Genomic DNA, 26,666 nt, shown 5'->3' on the forward strand with positions numbered 1-26,666 from the left:
GATTTCCTTAACAGTTTACTCTCTACATGTCTGAACAAAATAGTTTAATTTTGCCTTTTATGAATGTTATAAACAGAATCATACAGCATGTCTTCTGTTGTGTCTGGCTTTTTTCACTCAACATTATGTCTTTAAGAGTCATCCATATTATGATTCATTCATTTTCCCAGTTATGTTTTCAATGAGCTGTATCTACCAGAATTACATAGGATTGATTGGTACATGGGGGAGAGCAAGACTGGAGGCAAAGAGACCAGTTAGGAGGTAGGGCTAATTGGCAATAACCATGGTGAGAGCCTGGGACCCATAAATAATAGCAGAGGACATCTCTTCTCTCTAGAAATCAGTATTTCAAAACCCTCAGACATTTAGAACTACTGCAGATACAAAACAAACTTAAAAATCTAAATCAACAGCAACAACAATGCAAAAGCCCTGCCTTGGGGCAAAGAAGTAGGCCCTGAGTATCCAGCAACAAATGATAGTGAAGACAGTTCAGTGAACTGAAAATTATTCCAAGCATGCTACGTTGACCAAGAAAAAAAGGAGTGTTCTAACTGAATATATAATTAGATAGAATACACACACATAAATGTGTTTGTGTATATGTGTGTTATACACTTATATATGCACACTTCTTTTCTGGCATGAAAGCACTGAGGTATAGAAGTAGCATAAGATAAGAAATAAGAAAGTAATTTTTAAAAAGTGTAAAGAAAAATAGTAGAGATGATCTGAGGCTGTGTAGCAAAGTTGGCAGCAGTTGCAGTCATGGAGTCTGTGAATGGAAATGGATGCGGCAATGGAAAGGGGCAAAGGGCTAGAGACAAAGCAAAATAAGACTGGAAAACTCTGCAGAGTGTGTGACAGACAATCATCTTCACCACATCCTCCCCATATCAGTCATTCAGTAATGGAGGTGCATTCCCCTAGTGGGACATATTAAAATCACCTGAGGCCTTCTAGTGGACGACAAGGCCCATTTACATCAATAGGTCAATATTTTATTTAGTTGGTAGCCCACTAAAGACACATCAGACCGACCATTCAACATTCTGAGAAAGACATTCATTATTAAATGCAAGTGACCTTAAATAACAAACCAACCTCACTGCAGTAGGGTGCCAAGGCAATGTCATAGAGCCAGCTGTGTACAATGACATGTATACTACACTAGTTCCAGCAAAAAGCAAAGGGCAAAGACATTTTTTTAATTGTGCTAATCTTAAACAACAAAAGGAGTTTTAAAAAGAGTAAACCTGGGAAAATGAACATGAACAATTCATATGTGTCCAAATTCTTCGTCACATGGCCCTCTCCACAGGGTTGCCTGGGTGTCTGGAAGAAGTGGAAACTGGATTCCCCAGAGTGGGAAATGCAAGAGAGACAGAGCCCAGGACAAAAGCTGCTGTCTTTTTTTATAGCCTAATCTTAAAAGTGGCATACCATCACTTATGTCATGATCCATTGATCATACAGACCAACCTTATACACCATGGGTAAAGGCGATTCAAAGGTATGAATGCCAGCAGGTGGTGAGATCGGTAGGGGCCATCTTGAAGACTAGCTACCATAGAAATTAAGTTGTCCCAAATTTTACATCTAGAAAGTCAAATTTTTTACTTTTACTTTTATTTATTTTTTTTTTTTGAGACAGAGTCTTACTCTATCGCTCAGGCTGGAGTACAGTGGTGCGATCTCGGCTCACTGCAACCTCCGCCTGCTGGGTTCAAGTGATTCGCCTGCCTCGGCCTCCCCAGTAGCTGGGATTACAGGCATGCACCACCATGCCCAGCTAATTGCAATTCCAGCACTTTGGGAGGCTGAGGTGGGTGGATCACGAGGTCAGGAGTTCAAGACCATGCTGGCCAGCATGGTGAAACCCCATCTCTACTAAAAATAGAAAGACAAAATTTAAAAGTAAGTCTGTTAGACTAAAAATCTAGTGCTCTTTTTACTACGAATTGTATGTCAGGACTCAAAAAATGTAAAAAAAAAAGTTATGTTTTTGGCAGATTTCTATGTAAGTGAAAGTTGACAGCTGGGTATGGTGGCTCATGCCTATAATCCCAGCACTTTGGGATACTGAAGTGGGAGGATGGCTTGAGTTCAGGAGTGCAAGACCAGCCTAGGCAAAAAGACCTTGTCTCTACAACAAATTAAAAAATTAGCCGGGAGCGGTGGCTCACGCCTGTAATCCCAGCACTCTGGGAGGCCGAGGCGGGTGGATCACAAGGTCATGAGATCAAGACCATCCTGGCTAACACGGTAAAATCTGGTCTCTACTAAAAATACAAAAAAATTAGCCGGGTGTGTGGCGGGCGCCTGTAGATCCAGGTATTCGAGAGGCTGAGGCAGGAGAATGGCATGAACCCAGGAGGCGGAGGTTGCAGTGAGCCAAGATTGTGCCACTACACTCCAGCCTGGGTGACAGAGCGAGACTCCGTCTCAAAGAAAAAAAAAAAAATTAGTGGGCATGGTGGTGCATGCCTGTAGTCTCAGCTGCCCAGGAGGCTAAGGCGGGAGGATCATTTGGGCCTGGGAGGTTGAGGCTGCAGTGAGTCGTGATCATGCCACTGCACTCTAGCATGGGTGACAGATGGAGGCCCTGTTTCAAAAAGCATAAAATATTTTTTAAAAGTTGAGTTGGTAAAAACTATGCAACCAAACTGGAAAACAAATAAAGCCTTTTAAATGTATTTTTTAATGAAAAGATAAATGATTGTACCTCTTGCCCAATATTTATTGCATGGGCATGAAGAAATGATGTGCAAATTCAATAGAGAGAAAAATACTGAGTTTCTGAAGAGTGATTTAGGGTAGACACTATAGTCTGGCTTACTCAACACCATTCTCCTTTTATTTCTCCTTTGTCTCCCTCCACTATAGAAGGTGGAAATGTTAAATATTAATTTTCCTAGCATCCCTTACAGATACAAGGGCATTCAATGCAGTACCAGCCAAGAAATGTAACTGAAAGTGTCCTGAAGTTTGTGCTTGTGCATTCTTCATTCCACCTTCCCAGGCCATCTTTTTCCTGCCACAGAAACAGACTACATTTCTGGGACAGCAATTCTCTTCACTGAGCAATTGGACCAAGGCCAATTAGTCCAGAAGTCCTCTTTCAGACTTCTTGTTATGTGATAAATATTTATGTGTTTAGTCCCACCACCCTCAGTTGGTGTATCAGTCTGTTTTCACGCTGCTGATAAAGACATAGCTGAGACTGGGTAATTTATAAAGAAAAAGAGGTTTCATGGACTCACAGTTCCACATGGCTGGGGAGGCGTCACAATCATGGCAGAAGGCGAAAGGCATGTCTTACACGGCAGCAGGCAAGAGAGAATGAGAGCCAAGTGAAAGGGGAAACCCCTTATAAGATCAAGAGCTCTCATGAGACTTATTTACGACCTGAGAACAGTATGGGGGACCCGCCCCCATGATTCAATTATCTCCCACTGGGTCCCTCCCACAACATGTGAGAATTATGGGAGCTATAATTCAAGATGAGACTTGGGTGGGGACACAGCCAAACCATATCAGTTGGGTTTCCTGATAAGTGCAGCCATAAGTATTTCTAATTCCTTCAGTGTGAGATAACTTTAGAAGACATTAAAAACAAACCCAGCAAATTCTATAAAGATGAAGTGGGAGAGGGGTGTTAGAAAACTTTTGTGGCTTGTAGAAAACTTCTTTCTAAACAATTTCCCATATAACTTAATTTCCTGTAGTATTCTAGCTTAGGGGTAAGAAAATAACAATGATATATCTTATTTTTATTATTTTGCCTTAGTCTGTAACAGTGCAGGAAGTCCAGGCCTCCTTAATTCCTCACGAACAGCACCATTATGGTGGTCTATCTTGCCCTTTCCCTGACCAGCCTCCCTGGTTGTTCTATGTATTGGACCATTGCTTTTCTTTACTCATTATATTGAGGTCTTTGCAGCAGCTGCCAATGCCCAGTGTGACTGCTTGCTGCCCTAGAGGTCTATCACAGACCCCCTGTGACTGCTGTAGCCATCAAAGCTGCAGACCATGGCATGGCATGTTGCAGAAGCTATGGGACCCAATGCTGCTGGTATCTTGTAATTTCAATGGTTAAAATGTCTTGCTATTCTATTACAGTCTCCTTCCCCCACATAGACTTATTGGGGAAATTCCAAAGGATAATCTAAGATGTAAACTCTACTTTAGACAGACATCTCCCTTTCTCTTTTATGCTTTCTGTTGTCCTTGAATCACACTTATGAGCCTCAACGATCTTCCCTTCTCATACCTCCCCAGTGGTAACTTGAACCTTTACAGAATGGTCTGTTTCCTGGCTTGATTTCCTTGTCCTAGACCTTCCTTCCCTGACTTGCCTGCATCCCAGAATGAAATAAACTTAGGCTCAAGCTTGATACATGAAAGTCATATAAAGTTGGTTCAATGTAACTTTTTTTTTTTTTTGAAGCAGGGTCTCACTCTGTCACCCATGCTGGAGTGCAATGGCGTGATCTCGGCTCACTGCAACCTCTGTCTCCTGGGTTCAAGTGATTCTCATGCCTCAGCCTCCTAAGCAGCTCTTAAGTAGCTGGTGGCGCATGCCACCATGCCCAGCTCATTTTTTATATATTTTTAGTAGAGACAGGGTTTCACCATGTTGGCCAGGCTGGTCTCGAATTCCTGACCTCAAATGATCCACCCACCTCGGCCTCCCAAAGTGTTGGGATTACAGGCGTCAGCCACCTTGCCCAGCCAGTCTAATGTAACTTATAGCTTTACACATTCAATAAAATTTTATTTGGGCTAGGCATGGTAGCTCATGCCTGTAACCCTAGCACTTTGGGAGGCCAAAGCAGAAGGACTGCTTAAAGCCAGGAGTTTGAGACTAGCATGGGCAACATGTCAAGACCCCATCTAAAAAAAAAAAAGTTTATTTGAATTAAACAGAATAAGAATATGCTGACAGTTTAATATTTAGGAAATTGTATGTTACTAGAGTATGCTAGAGTGTAGTGTAGTACCCAAAGTATAAATAATGCTTGGAAAGTCAAAGATATTTTCTCTTGTCATACCCAACCTCCTTGAACCATTTTTACTTACATTTGATGAAGGATCTTTTCAGAACCAGAGGCTTATCTGAGGATAACGATATATCCTGTTTTCACACAATTATTCAGCTCATCTAGAGGAAATATTGTGGTATCTGTGAACATTATTTCTATCTCCTAGCCACCAAATATTAACTCCCTGTGTTAGCCTATAAAAAAAAAGTTTTATTCAAGATAGAAAATTGTACTGCATATGAGGTTTAATGAAGAAGTAGGTTTATCAGGCATGTAATATTTAGGAATTCTCACCCCATTATTATAATGAATATACAATTTTAAATACTGCTTATGCCTGGTATTCTAGTCAAATCAAACACGAACAATTTAGAGAAAATAGCCTGAAATCATGTCAGCATAAGTACCTTTTTAAAAATTTTTCGGGTAAAGATTTTGTAGCCTTGAGAGAATAAGTCATTTCCGAATGCTTATTGGGACATACTTTGCAAAGTATGCTAGGACATACTTTGGAAAGAATAAGGGGAAGATTTCTTTTAAGCCTCAGGAAAAATTTTGAGCAAAAGAGATAGAAGCCTGGGTGCAAACTGACAAAGAAAGCAGAAATGTGTTAGTGATGCAGAAGTCACTGCTGGTGCTTTGAATGGTGCTGACACATCAAAGGGCACTGTTTGCAACAAAGAGGAAGATAATTTCTGGAGAGTGACAAAACCATTTGGGAGAATGCAGCTGATGCCCTCGATTCACTGGTTAATTGTGCAGATGGGCAACCATATTCTGCTGCCCCAGAGTTCATGAACCTGGACATGCTTTATCCCACCTGTAGGACAAACAGTCAAACAACCCCAACCAGGCTGCCCTAAGGGGCTTTGTCAAGAAAGCAACTGCCTGGACAACTTTTAACCTCGGTAGCATTGAGACAACTTTAACATAAAAAATATAAATATTATATTACCCCAAACTATTAAATAAGAGAGAAAAAATGTTAAGTTATCTCTCTTGACTTATTTCCTGACCAGTAGTTTATAGAATACCTGAGGCCTACATTGAGCGGCAAGTTAAAACAGGCACAAGAAAACTAGACCTATGGAATATATAAAATAATTCTGTGATAAAAAGACAAGAAGACTGTTAACCAGAATGTTAATTTTTTGTTTTTGGGTAATTTGTTATATTTACTTTGGTTTTTTTTTTTTCTTTTCTATACTTTCCAAATTTATTACAGTAAATACATACTAGTTATCTAATGAAGAGAATATAAATATTTTTCTTTCTTTTCTTTTTTTTCTTCGAGTCAGTCTCGCTCTTGTTACCCAGTCTGGAGTAAAATAGCACGATCTCAGCTCACTGCAACATCCACCTCCCGGGTTCAAGTGATTCTCCTGCCTCAGCCTCTCGAGTAGCTGGGATTACAGGTGCCCACCACCATGCCTGGCTAATTTTTGTATTTTTAGTAGAGATGGGGTTTTACCATGTTGGCCAGGTTGGTCTCTAACTCCTGACCTCAGGTGATCCACCCACCTTGGCCTCCCAAAGTGTTGAGATTACAGGCGTGAGCCACCACGCCCGGCCTAAATATTTTTCTTACTGTGACAGAACAACTCAGACAACAGCAATGTTTTCTAAACAAATACTCAACTACTCAAAAAAAACCAAAAAACAAAACAAAAAAAAAACTGAATCTCTGAGAGTTTAGGTAGTCAAGGTTTTATTGTAATTTAGCATGTAATAGAAAAAGAAACTCAAGAGACATAGTTAAGACAGTTTTACTGAGTTCATCCAATTTCCCATTAGTAATTGAATTAGTAATTGACTTACACAAGTCATAAATTGATGTGCATATATTTTCACTAAGGGTATGAGCATATAGTTCATTTTATAAATATTTATTTGTTTGTGTGGAAAAAAAGCCTTCAGAAATTTTAAGATAATCTGATCTGACAGATTTAAGAATTGCTAGTATCCTTCTTAATAAAAACAAAAAAACCTGAATTGGCATCTTCACAAATTTCTGTAACCCAAATTTAGCAGCCTGGCAACTTTGTGCTGCACTGCACAGTCACTGTTAGGAACAGCTTTATTATTACTCAGATTCCCAAATTCACACATGGTCTCCCATCTTTCAGCAGGTGCCTTTCCATTTTTATTTACAGAGAGAAGGTTATTTGCAATGGGAACTCTCACCTTTTCACCTTCTTGGCTCCAGCTCCTTTTCAGGTCTCTTGGCTCTTCTTTCCTGTTTGGGAAGGGGGATGCTTCCTCATCCTTGCCACCAGAATTCTCACACCTGTCCTTACACTTTCCTCAGAAATTTCTATTCAGTGGAAATTCTGTTGCTTGGATTTCAATCTTGCCATCTTTACTGATGCTCTCCTTTCAGTGGAAAAACAAACCAAAATTTAACCATTAAAAATAAAACCCTAACAATGCTAGAAGAAAACATTAAATTGTATAAAATATCTTGGAGCGTGAGGGGTCTTCCAATTTGTAGCAAGAAATTCACAAAGGAAACTCATAAAGGAAGAGATCAATATATTCAAAATAGAAATTAAAAAGAAACTAAATAAAAAAGCATAAACAAATAAAAGTCTAATAACAAACTTATAAAGTTATTTGTGAGGCATATAATTGACATGGGACTAGTTTTCCCCTATATAAATCCATAATCAACAATTACGAATCGATAAGAAAAAGATGTTAGAAGTACAATAAAAAATGGCAGATACTGGCCAGGCACAGTGGCTCACACCTGTAATCTCAGCACTTTGGAAGGTTGGGGCAGGTGGATCACTTGAGGCCAGGAATTTGAGACCAGTTTGGCCAACATGGTGACACCCTGTCTCTACTAAAAATACAAAAATTAGCTGGGTATGGTGGCACATACTTGTAGTCCCAGCTACTGGGGAGGCTGAGGCAGGAGAATCACTTGAATCCGGGAGGCAGAGGCTGCAATGAGCGGAGATTGTGCCACCGCACTCCAGTCTGGGTGATAGAGTGAAACTTAACTATTGAGAAGAAATTTTAAATGATTTATGTAAAAATAGCAACCATACAGAATTACAGTCATATTGGTTGAAATATACTATGTGAGTGATCATTTTACTATAACTTATGGCCAAGAGTTGTGATTCTATCTAATGACAGATTAGTAGTTTATTTTGACTAAAAGAACCTTCAGAAACAAAGATTTTTTCCCCTCAATACACGGTTTAGAAATTGGCAAACTATGGATCTGTGGGCCAAATGCAGTCCACTACCTATTTTCATAAAGTATTACTGGAACACATCTATTTACATATTTTCTGTGGCTGTTCTCATGCTACAAGGTGCAACAGAAATGTGTAGGTGCAACAGAGATGGTATGACCTGCAAAATCTGCAGTATTTACTATCTGGTCCTTTACGCAAAAATGTCTGAACTGGTTTTTTAGGATATTTAGCTTATGTGAAACACAGAAATATTTGTTCAGTTTTCCAGGATCATGTCTTGTTAATTTCACATTATAGTCTACAAGGCAATAGGTATTTTAAAAATGTAAATTCCTTGACAGAAATAATTTTATTTTCATATTTTGTGGTAATATGTTCATATTACAATAGTTGAATAGAGCAGTAATTTCCATTTTACATGTGTTTTAAAATAGATTTAGAGAAAACTTCAAAAGATTTACAAACTTCTATGACAGAACTGAATATAACAATCACAAAATTATTTAAATAGCCTGAATACTGCAGTATTACGTGTTACTGTCTTCTTTTTTTTATTTTTTGAGACAGAGCTTTGCTCTGTACCCAGGCTGGAGTGCAGTGGTGTGATCTCGGCTCACTACAACCTCCACCTCCTGGGTTCAAGCAATTCTCCTGCCTCAGCCTCCCAAGTAGCTGGGACTACAGGTGTGCACCACCACACACAGCGAATATTTTTTTTTTTTTATTTTTAGGGGTTTTGCCATGTTGGCCAGGCTAGTCTCGAACTCCTGGCCTCAAGTGATCTGCCCACCTTGGCCTCCCAAAGTGCTAGGATTACAGGCATGAGCCATCACACCCAGCATGTGTTATCTTCTTAAGACCCATACACACAGTCTTTTCTTTTAGCTTCTGATTGCTAGATTATGTAACAAGTGGCCAGTAAAACAGAACTCCTATTAGGCAGATTCCTTAAACCAGACCCTGTGGCTGGCTTTTGAAGGAAAACTTACAAAGGAAACTTCTTTTCCCTCAAAGGAAATTGGGGGAATTGATGTCTCATTTGTCTCCATCAAAACCACAAAGTTTGAAAGACTTACTGGAGCCACTGCTGCAGAAGGGGTGATAGGCTTCAATCGTACATCAAGGCAAGCAGTGGATTGCTGTCCCTGTGTGTCCGGAATTAGTGGGTTCTTGGTCTCACTGACTTCAAGAATGAAGCCGCGGATCCTCGCGGTGAGTGTTACAGTTCCTAAAGGTGGCGTGTCCAGAGTTTGTTCCTTCTGATGTTCGGATGTGTTCGGAATTTCTTCCTTCTGGTGGGCTTCGTGGTCTCGCTGGCTCAGGAGTGAAGCCACGGACCTTCGCGGCGAGTGTTACAGCTCCTAAGGCGGCGCATCTGGAGTTGTTCGTTCCTCCCGGTGGGTTCGTGGTGAAGCTGCAGACCTTCGCAGTGAGTGTTACAGCTCATAAAGGCAGTGTGGACCCAAAGAGTGAGCAGCAGCAAGATTTATTGCAAAGAGTGAAGGAACAAAGCTCCCATAGTGTGGAATGGGACCCGAGCAGGTTGCCACTCCTGGCATGGGCAGCCTGCTTTTATTCTCTTATCTGGCCCCACCCACATCCTGCTGATTGGTAGAGCTGAGTGGTCTGTTTTGACAGGGCGCTGATTGGTGTGTTTACAATCCCTGAGCTAGATATAAAGGTTCTCCACGTCCCCACCAGATTAGCTAGATACAGAGTGTCCACACAAAGGTTCTCCAAGTCCCCACCAGAGTAGCTAGATACAGAGTGTCGATTGCATTCACAAACCCTGAGCTAGACAGGGGTGCTGATTGGTGTGTTTACAAACCTTGAGCTAGATACAGAGTGCCGATTGGTATATTTACAATCCCTGAGCTAGACATAAAGCTTCTCCACATCCCCACCAGACTCAGAAGCCCAGCTGGCTTCACCCAGTGGATCGCGCAATGGGGCTGCAGGTGGAGCTGCCTGCCAGTCCCGCGCCGTGCGCCGGCACTCCTCAGCCCTTGGGTGGTCGATGGGACTGGGCGCCCTGGAGCAGGGGGCGGCGCTCCTAGGGGAGGCTCCGGCCGCACACGAGCCCACGGAGGGGGTGGGAGGCTCAGGCATGGTGGGCTGCAGGTCCCGAGCCCTGCCCGGCGAGAAATCGAGTGCAGCACCGGTGGGCCGGCACTGCTGGGGGACCCAGTACACCCTCCGCAGCCGCTGGCCTGGGTGCTAAGCCCCTCATTGCCCGGGACCGGCAGGGGGCTGCTCCGAGTGCTGGGCCGCCAAGCCCACGCCCACCCGGAACTCCAGCTGGCCCTCAAGCCACGCGCGCAGCCCCGGTTCCCGCTCGCGCCTCTCTCTCCACACCTCCCTGCAAGCTGAGGGAGCCGGCCCCGGCCTTGGCCAGCCCAGAAAGGGGCTCCCACAGTGCAGTGGTGGGCTGAAGGGCTCCTAAAGTGCCGCCGAAGTGGGAGCCCAGGCAGAGGAGGCGCTGAGAGCGAGCGAGGGCTGTGAGGACTGCCAGCACGCTGTCACCTCTCACCTGCAGAAGAAAAGGGGGCTCCTTTAATCTAGTAGTGGTGAGAAGAAAGTGAGAGGAAAATTCCTTTTTTTTTTTTTTTTAAGACAGAGTCTCATTATGTCGCCAGGCTGGAGTGCAGTGGCGAAATCTCGGCTCACTGCAACCTCTGCCTCCAGGGTCCAAGTGATTCTCCTGCCTCAGCTTCTTGAGTAGCTGGGACTACAGGCATCCGCCACCACACCCGGCTAATTTTTTGTATTTTTAGTAGAGACGGGGTTTCACCATGTTGGCGAGGATGGTCTTGATCTCTTGACCTCGTGATCCACCCGCCTCGGCCTCCCCAAGTGCTGAGATTACAGGCGTGAGTCACTGCGCCCGGCAGGAAAATTCTTTTTAATGCAACAGTGCAATTTCTCTCATTCTTGCTGTATTTGGTTTTCTGGAACAGAAGGTTGTGAGGAGACAAATCTTAAACAGACTATTAATTTATATGTTGAGATCATTATTTAATATTAAATTGTTAAACAACAGCTTTGAGACATAGCTATTTTGATTCTCCTATTTGTTTTTGCCTGTAAAAAAGTTTATAGAAAACTTGATTTTAAGAGGTTATTTAATTTAAAATTTAAGACTCTTCTACACACTTTCCTTTGAAGAATAATTAAAATAGGAAAAAAGAATCAGAGTACAAGTTATATAGGCAGACACTGAAATTAGAAAACTAGGCAGATCTTTGTCTCTCCTAGTTATCATGCTAGGATTTTAGGACACTGTTAAAATATAAAGACATAAAATCTCATTACAAGTAATTGTTCTTACAAAATGGCTTCCCAAAGTATAATATGAATAGTATATAGTAGTGTGAAATAATGTGTAATATGTTGTCTACCCAAAGTGTAATCTGAATAGTATGAATAGTATGAAATGATAATGATGGTTTGGTTGATGTACAAAATATTTTTAGAGACATTACTGAAGATTATTAAAAAAGGACCATTGATAAAGTAAAATATCCTAAGCCTACTAGTGGATATGTGGTCATGTTATAATATATTCAGTTACTTAACACATATTGAGAACACAGTAAGGCACAGTTATTCTCACACTTATACCTCCACTTTATTTATTTTTTTGAGATGGAGTCTCACTCTGTCACCCAGGCTGGAGTGCAGTGGCACAATCTCTGCTCACTGCAACCTCTGCCTCCCAGGTTCGAGTGATTCTCCTGCCTCAGCCCCCCCAAGTAGCTGGGACCACAAGCATGTGCCACCACACCCAGCCAATTTTTGTATTTTTAGTAGAGATGGGGTTTTGCCGTTTTGGCCAGGCTGGACTCAAACTCCTGACCTCGTGATCTGCCCGCCTCGGCCTCCCAAAGTGCTGGGATTACAGGTGTGAGCCATTGCGCCTGGCCTACTTCAGCTTTCAAATAATGATATATGGTCACTATCAACTTACCTTTGATGCTTTCAAAATTAGAATTTGTTCAGAATTTTTTGTTTACCTATAGGTGACACTAACTAAAACTATGAACATTATGAAACAAACCTCCACTTACCTAGTACAAATGAAAAGAACAAGCGGGTAGTTATTTTCTTGAGGACGTAAAACAGTCACATTCTAAGAAATCTAATTCTTTCAAGACCCAACCTGTGTATCTTGGAAGGAGGTCACTCTGTGAGCAAAGGTTAGGAATGGGACCCCTGTTTATGCAAAGTATCAAAGTTAAGCTGTCTCTTCCTGATAGCTTTTATGTTAGATTGTTTTTCAAAAATGCCTTTCCACATAATCTGAAAATGTCTTCTTCAGACAAAAGCTTTATCCATTGGATGCTTTGGTATCTTTCCTCAAGATAGCACTGATTTAGTGTTTTCACCCCAATAAATGAAGACTTTGATCACTCCAGCATCTTTGTGACTCAGGGAGACAGACTGACACATTAGTATACATTTTTCTGTGGATCGAAAACATGTTATGTCTTATCAAGGATTGATATGATCTTCTAACACAAATAGAGTTTGGAAAAGGATAAAATACCATTCACACATTCATTAATAAATATTTGAGGGCTTTCTACGGTACTAAGTGCTGTGAAGGACAAAGGTGGCTCTAAAGATAAACTAGACATGGACCTTGCCCTTGAGTATTTCACATGGTGCTTAAGGTGACCAGACTTAGTTATGGAAATGTAATAATTATAGTACAGGATAGATAATGTTTCACGCTGTGAGTGGGGGTAAAAATATTCCTAACAAATTTTACATGAAGAAATGATCAACCCTAAAAATTTGTACACTGGGCCGGGCACAGTGGCTCATGCCTCTAATCCCAGTACTTTGGGAGGCTGATGTGGGCAGATCACCTGAGATCAGGAGTTCGAGACCAGCCTGGCCAACATGATGAAACCCTGTCTCTACTAAAAATACAAAAATTAGTTAGGCGTGGTGGCACGCCCCTGTAATCCCAGTTACTCAGGAGGCTGAGGCTGGAGAATCACTTGAACCTGGGAGGCAGAGGTTGCAGTGAGCTGAGATCGTGCCATTGCACTCCAGCCTGGGCGACAGAGCAAGACACTGTCTCAAAAAAAAAAAAAAATTGTACATTTTTCATTGCTTCATTTGAAATCCCAAAGGTCCAATATAAATCTTTCTGTGGAAGACCATCTGAATGTAATAAAAATTGCTATTGAAGAATCCCTAATAAAAAGTATTCAAATTGTGGCATCTTTCTGGTACTGAGGAGGCCATAAAGGTTCAGTAATACCCATCCACATGGCTACCTAGAGTCTTAGGAATGGTCATTTCTCAAGGGACTGTCAGGCTGTCTGGGTCTGAGCAGTAATTTGATGCACGTATGGGGTGCTGCAGCTTTAGAAACATGTTTCCGTCTATTATCTGTTAATTATTATCCCTCTGGACAGCCTGGCACATGGTAAGGGCAGCTAAGACAGCAGGGTCCTAATTCTGCTCAGCTCTCTCTGCTGTAAAATGATTGATTTGGTGACCGGATTTTCTCCAAGTTTCCTTGTGTAGGTAGGTGCGTAGGGCAAATTATATTATCACCATTTTATAGAAAGGGAAACTAAGGTTAGGAGAGCTTAAGTGACTCGCCTAAGGCCTCTGATAATAACTGATATCCAATACTTGAGATTAGACTTCAGGCCCAGAAGGACAAAGCATCTGCTTCTATATCACACTCAGAACCACACCTAATATTTGTGGTTAAGAGTACCAATAGAGGCCCACATAGCATTAACCTAAGTATTTAAGTCATAAATCAAGATAACAAACTGTTAAACAAAATATGATCTGTCCTCCCACCTTGACAAATACCTCCTACACGGAGCTGGATGGCCAGTTGTGAACTATGAATTCCTGGACTTCTCTAAGGGCCAGGCTGGAAGGTGTCATGGAGGATAAAGCTGATCGCGAATGATCCCTCTTCCTGCATTACGAGGGGCCCAAAGCACCTGGGAGTGCACACCTTAGCCCACAGGTCCAGGTACTGTCCACACCCCAAAGAAGAGCTATTTCTTGGACACAGGAGTGAGTTCAGAGTCCCGACCAGATCCTGAAAGTGAACTTGGCACCATTTGGGCAGAGCAGTCCAGAGTTCTGACTACATGGAGCGTATGTAGTCTAGAAGAGGGTCAGGCTCCAGCTGGGCCATCAGCCTGACCGGAAGAGGGGCACTGCCAGAGGAGAGCCAGAGGGTGGCTGTGGGCGGAGGTCCCTCTTGGGTTTAAGAGCCAGTCTGATCACACAGCCTCTAAAATCACCCTAAGAAAGAATAACATACCGGAACATTCATGTGACGGGTAAGTATGGTCCAGTGGTTATGAGACTAGGCTCTGCAGGCAAATCCCTGGGTTGGAATCTTAGGTTGGCCACTTTCTAGTTGTGGCATCGCAGGCAAATTATTGATCATCTCACAGCCTCAGTTTCCTCATCTTTAAAATGGGTAAATAATCATTATTATGAGGAGTGGCAGTATATGTAAAACGCTTGGTGGACATTACACATTGGGTGGATGTTGACAGGGTTCTCTCCAGCTTAGGCGAGTTTGCCTCTGAGAGGTTTTTCTGGAGAATTATATAAGCTTCATAACATCCAAGCACTCTGACAGTCAAGGTGAAAGTCTCCTCTCTCTACTAAATTGGGGTGAGGCGCGGGTGTGGGCACCACCCACCCCACCCAAGGCATCAGGGGCAGCCCACGTCCCGCCCGGTTCTGTGCCCAAGGACTTCACGCTGCAGACGTGCACGGAAGCTGCTTTGGCCAGGGGTTTGGAGGTTAACTAGCAAACGCAGCGTGAGTCACGGCGGCACTAGGAACTGAAACCGTGTTAGCCATGCCCAGGTTTACCCTCCGATGCGGACGGTGAAACCAGGGAGCAGTGACATCAGGACGGGGAGCCAGCGCTGACGCAGCTCCACCGCCTCCCTCCCCATCCCGCACCCGCCGCCGCCGAGCTCAGCCTGCAGACAGGTCTTGACATCCCTCCTCAGCGAGGAGCGAGGGAGTCGGAACAAGTCGGGGCATCTCCCTTGCACCTCCCGGGAGCGCCAGCCCAGCCAAGTCTAGCGATTGCCCGGCCCGCCAGCGAAGACGCTTCCTCTGAAGCAAGCTTGGACACTCCCCTACCCCTCCGGGTGAAACGAATTCCAAGTGGCCCATTTCGGCTCCTCGCCCCCTCCCACTCCCTGCAAAAAAACTTGGCAACTCTGCGGTTTCTTGCGGACCAAAACCTGTAATTAGCCCTTTGTGCTCCCTTTAAGGGGCAGTCGTGACTGGAAACCGAGGAGTCAGACCCTCTCGAAAACACCAACAAAGAACTATATTTAGTTCTGAGCTCTCAGCCTAAATGCCTCTTATTTTTTCACTTTTACTTCAAAACGCCAGGGTTGGGGAAGTGGGAGGCAGAGGGTGGGGGAGCAACGGAGAAAGAACAGCTGTGCCTCCGCCTCTCCGCTCAATCTCTATAAATAACCAATCGCGAGCGGAGGCTACTTTTTAGCCAATGAAGCGCCCCAAACTGATAAAGCCTTGGCGGCAGCCAATGAACAACACTTAGGGGTGTCAGACTCGCGCCCCGAGACCAATGAGTGCAGAGTCTGGGAGAGGTAATTTGAGCTAGAGTGTGGGTGTGTGGTGCAAAAGCTTCCTACTTCCAAGCCCAAAAACCTGCTCTGCGACTGAGCATGCCCTGAACTAACTGCGGGCGCCCTGAGACTTCTGGATTGGGATGTAATCCGGTCTCCGGGTTTTGACCGCACTCGAGCGGGGAGGTGGGTACGACCCGCGGGACCCTGCCCCGAGAGAGCTGCAGGTACCAGAAGCTACCCCTTTCCTAGTCGGAACAGTATCTCAGACTTGGAGTACCTCCTGTTTTCTTTGTGCAAGGCTGCAGTGCACAGAGTCGGTCAGAGAAGACAGAGTAGCGTTTCTGTGGCGAACGGTTTAGAAAAATCTATGGGGCAGGTTTGCTCCGCCGGCTGCTCGTGCATTCCACGGCACCCACAGGACTTCGGGTTTCCGGCCCCCAGACCCACGCCCGCCCGGGGCTGAGTGAATGGCGTCCTTGGGCCTTTGATAACGGGAGTTGGCAAGACCACAGCCTACTCCATCCCTGAGGCGGCCCGCCGCGCCCACGTGCTTCTCGCAGAGCCGCCGCCCTTGTCCACCACTCCCACAGCTGTAAAATAAAGCGGCCTGCATGCTTCCTACAGCGCTTTCCTCGCTCCCATATACGCACACACACCCCATCTTCCAGCCAGTTCCTAACTCGCGCCACTCCCCAAATCGGACTCAAATCCGGAGCCCCGCCCACTGCCCCGCCCCCTCCCGGCCCCGCGGAAAACCAGGAGCGGCCGCTTGGGCAAGGCGCGGCCGGAACGCACTGGGCATGCTCGCCGGGGAGGGGCGGGCCGGGCTGCGCGCGGCGAGTAGGAAGCCCTCGCCCAGTAGAGGCTGTGGGAGAGAGCGCGATGGGCCGCGGCGGTGGGCGCACGTTCCGCGGGGACTCATGCCACGCGCGTCCCGGCCCGACGCGCAATTAGCAGCCACCTCCGCAGCCCGCCGCCACCGCCTCCCTGCCCTCCCGGGCTGCCGCAGCTAGGAGCTCCAGCCGTCGCCTCGCGCAGGCTGCGGGCATTGTCCTCTCGGTTCGCCGCCCGGGCTGCTGCTGCCGCCGCGGACTGCTGCGGGGCCCGGACCCGCACCCCAGGGATACGCTGCCGCCGCCGCCGGCCGGCCCGGCGCCCGGCCTCCGTTCGGTGGTTTCCGCCCTGCGTTCTCTGGGTTGCTCTCTCCTGGGTTTTTCCTGCGTAGCTGAGGAAGGGGAAGAGAAGTCCAGCCGCCAAGCCCAGCCTTCCCCGGCGCGCAGCCCCGACGGGGCCGCGGCAGGCGCGGCGAGAGCGCTGACGGAGCCATGAGAGAGTACAAAGTGGTGGTGCTGGGCTCGGGCGGCGTGGGCAAGTCCGCGCTCACCGTGCAGTTCGTGACGGGCTCCTTCATCGAGAAGTACGACCCGACCATCGAAGACTTTTACCGCAAGGAGATTGAGGTGGACTCGTCGCCGTCGGTGCTGGAGATCCTGGATACGGCGGGCACCGAGCAGTTCGCGTCCATGCGGGACCTGTACATCAAGAACGGCCAGGGCTTCATCCTGGTCTACAGCCTCGTCAACCAGCAGAGCTTCCAGGACATCAAGCCCATGCGGGACCAGATCATCCGCGTGAAGCGGTACGAGCGCGTGCCCATGATCCTGGTGGGCAACAAGGTGGACCTGGAGGGTGAGCGCGAGGTCTCGTACGGGGAGGGCAAGGCCCTGGCTGAGGAGTGGAGCTGCCCCTTCATGGAGACGTCGGCCAAAAACAAAGCCTCGGTAGACGAGCTATTTGCCGAGATCGTGCGGCAGATGAACTACGCGGCGCAGCCCAACGGCGATGAGGGCTGCTGCTCGGCCTGCGTGATCCTCTGAGGCGGCCACCGCGCGCCGGCCGCGCTCTGCGCACAAAAGCCAAACGCATCCGACTCTCTAAATGTGATTTATTTCTTGCTTTGAGATTGGAGACCACTTTGCATTGGCCAGGGTGTCTTGGGAGCCCGGCTGGCCTCCGCGGCCGGCGTCCCCTGCCTCCACCCTGTGCCCGAGGGGGTGTCCGGTCCTGCCCATCCGATACTCTGGTGGAAATGTGGCTCTTTGCAGCATGTACGTTTCTCCCTGATTTTGGTTGATGCATATTTCCCCGTTTAAGTAGCCGTTAGGGCGCAGTATCGGCAGCTTGACACCCACCAAGCAAAAGTTTCAGCCTGGAAAAAAAATGGGGGGGAAGGGTGGATGAAAAGGAGGGAGAGAAGGTGGAAATGGTTTTTTTTTTTTTTTTTCTATTTTCTTTCTTTTTTTTTTTTTTTTTTTTTGGTCAACAGCCGTTTTTCTAGTTCCAAGTTTTAAATACATGGAAGGAAGTCCGGGAGAACCATATGAAGGAGCAGGAGGAGAGGAAGAAACTTTTTTTCCTTCTTTTCCAGGAGTAGCTGGAAATTAAGATCGGGTTCCTTTTCTGCCAGCTTGGAAGGGCAACCCCATGACTGATTGCGATTCTGAGGATGTCTATGCAAAGTTGGATTCTTGTTACAGTGTATCCAATCTGAAGTATTGCACATCTGAACTGGGACTGTTAACACTGATGCCAATACAGTGTGGGGTGCCAGAAAGTGTCTGCTGATATTTGTGGAAAAAAAATCTATTTTGTTTACCTACTGTATCAAAGGGGAGTCTGGGGGAGAATGGTAGTATTTTTTTTTTTTATCAGCTGTGAAAAAAATGTTACAGATCTGCACATTTTCGTGTGTACTATGGTGTGTGTGTGTATGTGTGTGGTGTGTGTGTGTTTTAAGTTTAGCCTTTTGTTTTTGTTTTTTGGTTGGCAGTAACCGATTTTAATGACTAGCTTTTAAAAATACAGTACAAAGACTTTGTAAATGTGATTCAGGGCCCCCAGCACCCCTGTGTCTGCAGAGTGCCTTCAAAACTCAGCTGTTCCAGCCGGTGCCAACCTGTGAACTTCCCACCATATCCCAGAATCTGCTATTCCCCAAACCACTTCCCAGTTTCCTTTCAGTAATCTTTCTGAAGGAGCCAGGACAATAGGGCCTGTTGTTTAGTGAATTTCTTTATTATTTTCAGCCTTTAAAATGTAATTTCCATCTCTTGCAATGAATTTGTTTCCCTTTTTTTTGCTTCATTTTGTTTAAATTTTCAGGTATTTAGCTCCCCTTTCATATTATTTTTAAATTTTTTAATTACCTGTTGTAGGGTGTTCCTCCAGAAGCAAAGAGCAAAATTTTACTGTTGTGATGTACCAATTCTAACTAATTGTAATTTTTAATTTCATGCGTTTAATCATTGTCTCTTCATTTTAAGACTTTTAATACAAATGTCATTTTTAAAGAAACAAACCCAAAACTATTGTTTGTGTTTCTGTGTTTCATATTCAGTGATTTAATACAGTATCATGGCTGAGGTGGATGGGGCAGGTGCATGATACTCTTCAGAGCTATTTGTGAAATTTTAAAGACAGAAGTGTCTCAGTGACAAGTTGGATGACACTACTCCCAACTTTTTAAATTTGGAGAAAACCATCAAGGTCGAGGAAGCCCTGGGTATGGCCATTACCATCTGATTAGAAGATGAACAGGTATTTTGAATCTGATCTGACATGGAACAGTTTACCTCATTGTAGGTAGGGAACAAGAGAACCCATCTATTAAAATTGCCTTAGATCTGGGAAAGTAACCATCCTTCTGGCAAAGTAGGATGGCACTTTTAAGTTTTTCTTCCTTTTTTCCCTCTGTTTATATTGCACATCAAGTCAAAAACATGTTTGGGAAAGATGGTTTTCAATTCTGAAGTTATACCTAGTGATGTTTTTTGCAGTACATTTGAATGGATTGTAGACACTGCCTCAACCCTTTTGAGGTTTTGATTTGGAAATAGATTTAAAAGAAAACAGGCTAAGATAATATCCTTGTTCTCATTTACACCCTGCAGTTTGGACCACATTTGACCTCATAAGTTTTTCCTTTTAACAGTAGGAGGCAGTGTGAGCTTTTTATTTTTTATTTTTCTTAAGGTGGTCTTAGTAATATAACATGTTCATACATATCAAGAGAGTACTTGGTATACCTTAGGTCTATGAAGTGTAGCTGAAATCTGAAGAGTCTTGACAAAGGGATTTACACCCTTGACAAAACCAAAAGAAATTAACAGGCCACAGGTTTCTTTAAAGCTGTGTTAACATATCTTGCCTTAAAATGTGTGTGTGTGTTTTTGCTTTGCTTTTTTTTTTTTGCCCAAGAGGCATCTCAGTACTCCAGCAATGGAGGAAGAATAGAGAATTTTGCCTGGCAATGGTCCTACTGCCATTTTTTTTTTCCCACTCTGATCTCACTTAAGTTTGATATCAAACACAATTGGGAGGCAATAGTATCAATATCCTAAATGTAGAAATTAAAAGATACTGTATAATTTTATGCCTTTGCAAAGATTCGTTCTTGTATTTGAATAAATTCAGTTGCTAAAGTAGATCCAAAGTGTTAAAAATGCTGAAGTCATGTCAAGTACTGTCTGGAGGGTTTTTTTAAGAAAAGGCATTTGGCATTTAACTGTCTCTTGTTTTATTTTTAAGTTTTTGGAAACCTTTTGACATAAAATGCTGCCAAGTATCTAAGAAATGTATATACTGACAGAAGATATTTGAAAGTGGAAAATTGGAAATGAAATATGTTGCTGGGTGCGTTAATCACCTCCGCCCAGGATTTAGTCACTTGCAGGACCTCTTTATAGTCTAGGATGGCAGAGCAGAAGATTTTAATATGCTTTTATTAAGTGATGTAAAATAAATGCTTTTTGGATTATCAATGAAAGCAATTTTATGTGTGCCTGAAGCAAGAAAATAGCGTTTTTGGTTTTATCTCATATTTTCTTGGCAAAATTGAGAGAAATTAGGAACACTGCTATTTTTTTCTTAAAAATGTTTTTAAGAATATGTTCGTTTCTTTGACTATTAAGAACCCCTTGTGGTATTAGTGTGTGAAGAGATAAGGGCATTTGTTTCAATGAAAAAGTTAGTGTTAAAGGAAGTGAGTCAGGGAGGGCGGAGTTTGTTGTAAGGCAATCACCTGTCAAAACAGAAATTGGGTGGGAAAGGAGTCTTTATCTTGGGGAGCAAAAGCTGACTTTTAAACTTGACCCCTGCTGTTTTTAAACAGCTTTTCCTTTTGGTCTCTGACAGTCAATCCAGGTTTTATGTTATTTCAAAAGGGTTATTTTTGTCCTCCTTTTTTAATAGCTTCAGGAAAGTTAAAGGTATCATCTTAGGTCTAACACTCTAGTCTTTGAGAGTTACGGTTCTTTCGTAGAACAATTTCCATGTTGTTAACTGTTGTAGACTTAATTGAATCACATTTTGGGACCAGATGTATTTGGGGATAGAATTCTTTAAATGTATGGGACTTCATGCTTCCTGATTATGTAATATTTCCTGTGGTTGGGAATCCTAGAATGCCTGATCTATTTTATCTGTTCAGGTAGTTTTGTTATTGTACCCTCTTTTGGGTCATATTCTAGTATTTCTCACAGGGGGTATGAGAAACAGAAAGCTATATGTAGCAGCTGGTCTTGAGAAGTAGAAGCATCTTAACTGTCATAAGAGCATAGATTTTTTGTTTTTCACAACAGCTGGAATAAGTTCCTGCATTATAAGTATAAAGGGAACCGAGATTTAATTTGGAGATCATCACTGTTAAAACGATACCAGACATTTGTCACAGTGTCTTATTTGGGGAAAGTTTGCTAATATACATTTTGTCTGTGAAAATATAGTAAATTTTAAAATACTAATATAATGTGGTATTCTTGATTACAGTATTTTATGCAGACTATTAGGAATGATTCAGTGCATTTAACTGAACACAGAGCTAGTTCTAGGTGAGTGAGATCTTTATCTATTAACTGGATTTTGAAGGTTTGAGAAGGCTATGGGGATCATCTGGTTGAAAGGTTCTCAAACTTGACCATATATCAAAATCACCTGGAGCTTAAAACATGTACTGCTGGGACCCTCCTCCAGTTTCTTACCCAGTGGGTCTCGGGTAGGGTCTCAATTTTCATTTCTAACAAGTTTCCAAGTGATTGTGTTATTGCTGTTCCAGGGACCACACTTTGAAAACCAGTGATCTAGACTGAACTCCAAATGAGTACTATACTGACAGCCACCTAGATATTGAGAGACACAGACTTCAGACTCATGTCACACATTTTGGAGTGCTGTCTACTACAGTTAGAGAATAATCTCTATTGAAATCTAAGCTAAAGAGGACATATACCATTTATACTAAGACTAACTGTTGTGTGTGAAATAGAATAAACATTGCAGGTAGTTTTTGATCATTTTCACATTATTACAGGAACATTTTGACTATGGTTTTCAATGTTAATTCAGAAGTTGACTTTAAATGAAAATGTGGTTAGAATAGAGGCAAAGCCTAAGTGATCAGAATCAACATTCCCCTTCTCCCCAACCTAGGGGAAAAAAAATTTGAAAAGTATGTCTTCAATAAAAGGGGACACTTTATTTGTCTTCTCTTCAACATTAAAAAACAAAGATTTTAAGTTTTCATGGCAAGGGTTCTAAAAATCATTGTGCCAGAGAATTTAAATCTTCATATCATGGTAAGCACATGCGTATGTCTGTGACTCAGTTTCTTAGCCAGACTTCCAGGTGTTAGTTAATTCCTTCTCATTTAGTTCTACTGTAATCCATTCTGGGAAAATGCATACCACAAAACTGTGTATCTTGCAGCTTCTTTCGTTATGCATCTTAATTCCCTCAGAAGGTCCCAGAACTTTATGTTAAAGATCTGGGTTTTTAAAGACAATTTGGGGGCCTTCTAAAGAAACAATAGTAGATCTAATTACAAGTAGTGGATTGCTTACTTCAAATTTCTCTTTTACAATTTAGAAAGTTTAGTACCAGTTTATAGACTGAGGGAGTAGTAGCTACTATTTAGATGCTGAGAATAATATTATCATGCTTGGGTGGGGAAGAAAGGCCCTTACTCAAATCTCCATTTTCATTTTTAATGCTTCCTGGACTTCAGTTATTTTCTTGCTTTTGCCTCAAGAATAATAAATATTTTTGGTTAAAATTTTTTTTGTTCAACCCTGTTGTTGTTACTGTTATTTTCATAGCACAGTAGTCTACAGCTCTCTATAGTAGCTTAATAGCTATTTGCTGAATGAATGGAACATGGAGTGTTACATCTGAAACTATTCTATTAGAAGGTGAAAAGTGTTGATTGAAGAATGGTAGGATTTTATCTTCCCTACCCATGATAGATTTATTAAGATTGTCTTTGGAGCTATGTCTTCCATTCCAACTATACAGAAATAAACTTTTTTAAAGTTTAGTTTGCCCATCTGATAAAGGAACATTCCTGTATGCTATTCTAAGGTTCATTTTCAACAAAAGTTACAGACATTTATGGTTGATAGTTTGAGATCTATGACAGTTTTAGGGAGCTCCATATTCAAAAGGCTATTGCTGGTGATAGTACAATGAAACACTGACTTCAGTATATTTTTATCTTGGCTTTCATTTTACGGTTATTTCTACTACTGTTAATATGGACTAATACTTGATTTTGTGAACCTGTTTTAATTTTAGGGTTATATTTATGTTGGAATAATATATTTTAAAAGTGTCCTATACTATGAATTTATTTGCCATATATAAGACAATCAGAATTATCTGGTAGTTTATTCTAATCCTGGTTAATAATCATTAGGACTAAACTATTTACATTAAAGAAGGAAAAAACAATGAGATGATAATTTTTTTTTTCTTTGAGACGGAGTCTTGCTCTGTCGGCCAGGCTGGAGTGCAATGGCGCGATCTCGGCTCACTGCAACTTCCGCTTCCTGGGTTCAAGCAATTCTCCTGCCTCAGCCTTTCCAGTAGCTGGGACTACGGGCGCCCTCCACCACTCCCGGCTAATTTTTGTATTTTTCATAGAGACAGCATTTCACCATACTGGCCAGGCTGGTCGTGAACTCCTGACCTTGTGATCTGCCCACCTTGGCTTCCCAAAGTGCTGGGATTACAGGTGTGAGCCACCGCACCCAGCCTTTTTTTTGAAATGGAGTCTGGCTCTGTCGCCCAGGCTGGAGTGCAATGGCGCGATCTCGGCTCACTGCAACCTCTGCCTCCCAGGTTCAAGCGATTAGCCTGCCTCATCCTCCTGAGTAGCTGGGATTACAGGCGTGCACCACCACGCCCGCCTAATTTTTGTATTTTTAGTAGAGATGGGGTTTCACTACGTTGGTCAGGATGGTCTTGAACTTCTGACCTTGTGCTCCACCCACCTCAGCCTCCCAAGAGTTGGGATTACAGGCGTGAGCCACTGCACCCGGCTGAGATGATAATTTTATTTAAAAAAAAAATTGTAGAGATAGGGTCTTGCCGTGTTGCCCAGGCTGGTCTCAAATTCCTGGGCTCAGGAGATCTTCCCTCCTCAGCCCCTCAAAGTGCTGGGATTACAGGCCTGAGCCACTGCATCCAGCCAGGAGTGACAATTTCTAAAGCCTTAATTAGTGAAATGGTTTGTTTTGAGAAGCAGAAATGACTAAGTGGTATAGACATGCAGGAAAAGCAAAATGGGCCTTATGGCTATTGAAATTATGAGTGTTGATCTGTTCTATAAATTGGAGGAGACAGCTATTTGCATTCTTTCTTATCCAGTTGACTAAACTTACTCATTTTAAAATGAATTATCTTGCAAAATTATGTGAGGTTAAGTTTGTCAGAGGATTGAAAACGTGGTTGGTTTATTTGTGGTAATTGTGAAAAATTGCAAAGGTAGCAAAATTTTTTAAAAAATGGAAAAGAGAAAGATTATTGATGCCTTGTGAATACAGGTGTCCCCAAAAGGCCTGAGACCAACCTTAATTATCAAGAATATGGTTGCAGTGGAAATTGGTAAACAGCTGAAATTGATTCATTGATTATTCAACACTTATTGAGCACATACTACTATTATTAATAGCTGTACTGCGAGCGCTAATACTTAAAAGAGGAAGTCAGGTGAAGGCGCAACAGCTTTATGCTCTTTTTCACTATAATCTGTGAAATAGTGTATATTAAACAATAATAGTATATGGAAAAGCACATCTACATGTGTCATCAGTTATAATACTGTGGGGCTGTTTGGCAGACAATAGAGTAGATAAATTTATTGAACATTGGGCCTTTGAAAGGTATGTGGAAATTGTAAATAAAAATGGATTCCATGAATTTCAAATAATAATTGTTCTGTTGTATGTGAAACTGTGTAATAAGATTGTCATTTTATTTACTTTTCTGCATCATTTTCAACTTCCTTTTTGAGATTAGCTAAAATTGAACACTTACAAGAGGAAATGATTTTACTTTTATATTTTCATGTCCAAGGGAAGAGGAAAACATGAAGAAAACAGATTTATAAAATTTACTCACAAGGCTGGGCACGGTGGCTCACACCTGTAATCCCAGTAGTTTGAGAGGCCGAGGCAGGTGGATCACGAAGTCAGGAGTTCAAGACCAGCCTGGCCAAGAAGGTGAAACCCCGTCTCTACTAAAAATACAAAAATTAGCCGGGTGCGGTGGGAGATACCTGTAATCCCAGCTACTCAGGAGGCTGAGGCAGAATTGCTTGAACCTGGGTGGCAGAGATTACAGTGAGCCAAGATCGCACCACTGCACTCCAGCCTGGGTGATAGAATGAGACTCCATCTCAAAAAAAAAGTAAAATAAAATTAAATTTATTCACTTATATTTTTCTTTAGTGAGGAAACCAAAGGAAAAGATAATTTAGGTTATATTCTGAAAGAAATAAACAGTCACTGGCTTTCTGGTTCTTCATGTAAAGAAGATTCAGGACAAGATATTTCTTTTGAAAAAGATAATCTTGTAAAAATGAGTGTGCCAAAGAAGTTGACATTTTAAGTAAGTTAATATTTTACACAAAAGCTCTTCTTCTGTTACCTCTTATGCTTACTGGAAGAAAGCAACCAGCACAGAGAAAGAAACGTTGGGTAACAAGCTGGAAGAGATAACAATAATAGCAGTTATTGTAAAGCCATATGAATTGAAGGGTGGGGTTGTGATTATTAACCTCCTGTGGTTTGCAAGATGATTTCTAGTCACCATTTTGTACAGACTGTCTCATGAATTTAACAACATGCTTTTTAAATGTGGAAGGTTACAGAATTGTAGGGGTAGCAGAATCGTTTATGTGAAGGTACTTAATTAAAAAAAATTTTGACTGCCATTGAACCATTTATGAAATGCAAATTTATTAAAGTTTCATAGCTTGAGTAAGGGTTTTAATATTTTATATGTTATCTGGCCATTTGTAAAGTTTTCAAAATCTGGTTATTCATGAGCTCAGAATATTCTAATGTTATTTAATATTATACATATTAATATAATATTTTAGATATTCTCTTTAGAGGCTAACATTATATTGATTTATGTCTTCTTCAGGAAAAGAACCTCTATAGACATCTGTATTAGCGTAATCCTATAAGAGTATATATTTCAATAAAACATAGTTTGAATTATATTTTAGATAGCTTTGAATTTAACCTTTTCAGTAGATAATAGAATTACAAGTATATTTCAATATTATTCCTCATGGAGTAGAAAAAGTATTAAGTCCTGAGTTTTTTTACTGAGTTTAGATATCTTATCTTAGTCATACTGGCTGGGTGTGGTGGCTCACGCCTATAATCCGAGTACTTTGGGAGGCCAGGGTGGGAGGATTGCTTGAGCGCAGGAGTTCAAGACCTGCCTGGGCA

General features: G+C 42.6%; 1 protein-coding gene and 1 long non-coding RNA gene across 2 annotated transcripts, besides 9 other annotated features; one reads left to right on the forward strand and one right to left on the reverse strand.

The window, feature by feature from the left end:
- Nucleotides 1-6,739: 6,739 nt before the first annotated feature.
- LOC124909451 (uncharacterized) lies at nt 6,740-9,805 on the reverse strand. Its single transcript, XR_007096136.1, has 2 exons — nt 9,334-9,805; nt 6,740-7,421 (listed from the first exon to the last, which is right to left on the reverse strand). It is a non-coding gene; the product is annotated as an uncharacterized LOC124909451 (long non-coding RNA).
- Nucleotides 14,534-15,065: an enhancer, noted in NCBI's record as "H3K27ac-H3K4me1 hESC enhancer chr3:152877821-152878352 (GRCh37/hg19 assembly coordinates)". NCBI's record gives its function as "activates a minimal SCP1, AML or CMV promoter by ChIP-STARR-seq in naive H9 embryonic stem cells {active_cell/tissue: H9 hESC(naive)}" and the evidence as "EXISTENCE:reporter gene assay evidence [ECO:0000049][PMID:30033119]".
- Nucleotides 15,066-15,595: an enhancer, noted in NCBI's record as "H3K27ac-H3K4me1 hESC enhancer chr3:152878353-152878882 (GRCh37/hg19 assembly coordinates)". NCBI's record gives its function as "activates a minimal SCP1, AML or CMV promoter by ChIP-STARR-seq in primed H9 embryonic stem cells {active_cell/tissue: H9 hESC(primed)}" and the evidence as "EXISTENCE:reporter gene assay evidence [ECO:0000049][PMID:30033119]".
- Nucleotides 15,135-15,514: an enhancer, noted in NCBI's record as "active region_20715". NCBI's record gives its function as "activates an Ori minimal core promoter by ATAC-STARR-seq in GM12878 lymphoblastoid cells {active_cell/tissue: GM12878}" and the evidence as "EXISTENCE:reporter gene assay evidence [ECO:0000049][PMID:35858748]".
- Nucleotides 15,685-16,014: a silencer, noted in NCBI's record as "silent region_14829". NCBI's record gives its function as "represses an Ori minimal core promoter by ATAC-STARR-seq in GM12878 lymphoblastoid cells {active_cell/tissue: GM12878}" and the evidence as "EXISTENCE:reporter gene assay evidence [ECO:0000049][PMID:35858748]".
- Nucleotides 15,685-16,395: a biological region, named in NCBI's record as "H3K27ac hESC enhancer GRCh37_chr3:152879114-152879682".
- Nucleotides 15,827-16,395: an enhancer, noted in NCBI's record as "H3K27ac hESC enhancer chr3:152879114-152879682 (GRCh37/hg19 assembly coordinates)". NCBI's record gives its function as "activates a minimal SCP1, AML or CMV promoter by ChIP-STARR-seq in naive H9 embryonic stem cells {active_cell/tissue: H9 hESC(naive)}" and the evidence as "EXISTENCE:reporter gene assay evidence [ECO:0000049][PMID:30033119]".
- Nucleotides 16,275-16,324: an enhancer, noted in NCBI's record as "active region_20716". NCBI's record gives its function as "activates an Ori minimal core promoter by ATAC-STARR-seq in GM12878 lymphoblastoid cells {active_cell/tissue: GM12878}" and the evidence as "EXISTENCE:reporter gene assay evidence [ECO:0000049][PMID:35858748]".
- Nucleotides 16,495-16,834: a silencer, noted in NCBI's record as "silent region_14830". NCBI's record gives its function as "represses an Ori minimal core promoter by ATAC-STARR-seq in GM12878 lymphoblastoid cells {active_cell/tissue: GM12878}" and the evidence as "EXISTENCE:reporter gene assay evidence [ECO:0000049][PMID:35858748]".
- Nucleotides 16,728-25,129, forward strand: RAP2B (RAP2B, member of RAS oncogene family). The gene has a single exon (NM_002886.4). The coding sequence runs from the start codon at nt 17,196-17,198 to the stop codon at nt 17,745-17,747; it is 552 nt and encodes a 183-aa protein (NP_002877.2). The 5' UTR covers nt 16,728-17,195; the 3' UTR covers nt 17,748-25,129.
- Nucleotides 16,905-17,154: a silencer, noted in NCBI's record as "silent region_14831". NCBI's record gives its function as "represses an Ori minimal core promoter by ATAC-STARR-seq in GM12878 lymphoblastoid cells {active_cell/tissue: GM12878}" and the evidence as "EXISTENCE:reporter gene assay evidence [ECO:0000049][PMID:35858748]".
- Nucleotides 25,130-26,666: the final 1,537 nt, after the last annotated feature.

The sequence above is a fragment of the Homo sapiens genome, chromosome 3 (assembly GCF_000001405.40).
Source record: "Homo sapiens chromosome 3, GRCh38.p14 Primary Assembly".
NCBI classification, from domain to species: Eukaryota; Metazoa; Chordata; class Mammalia; order Primates; family Hominidae; genus Homo; species Homo sapiens.

Bases quoted from the DNA above. Each gene is read 5' to 3' on its own strand.
- RAP2B (NM_002886.4), top strand. From the start codon at position 17,196: ATGAGAGAGTACAAAGTGGTGGTGCTGGGCTCGGGCGGCGTGGGCAAG.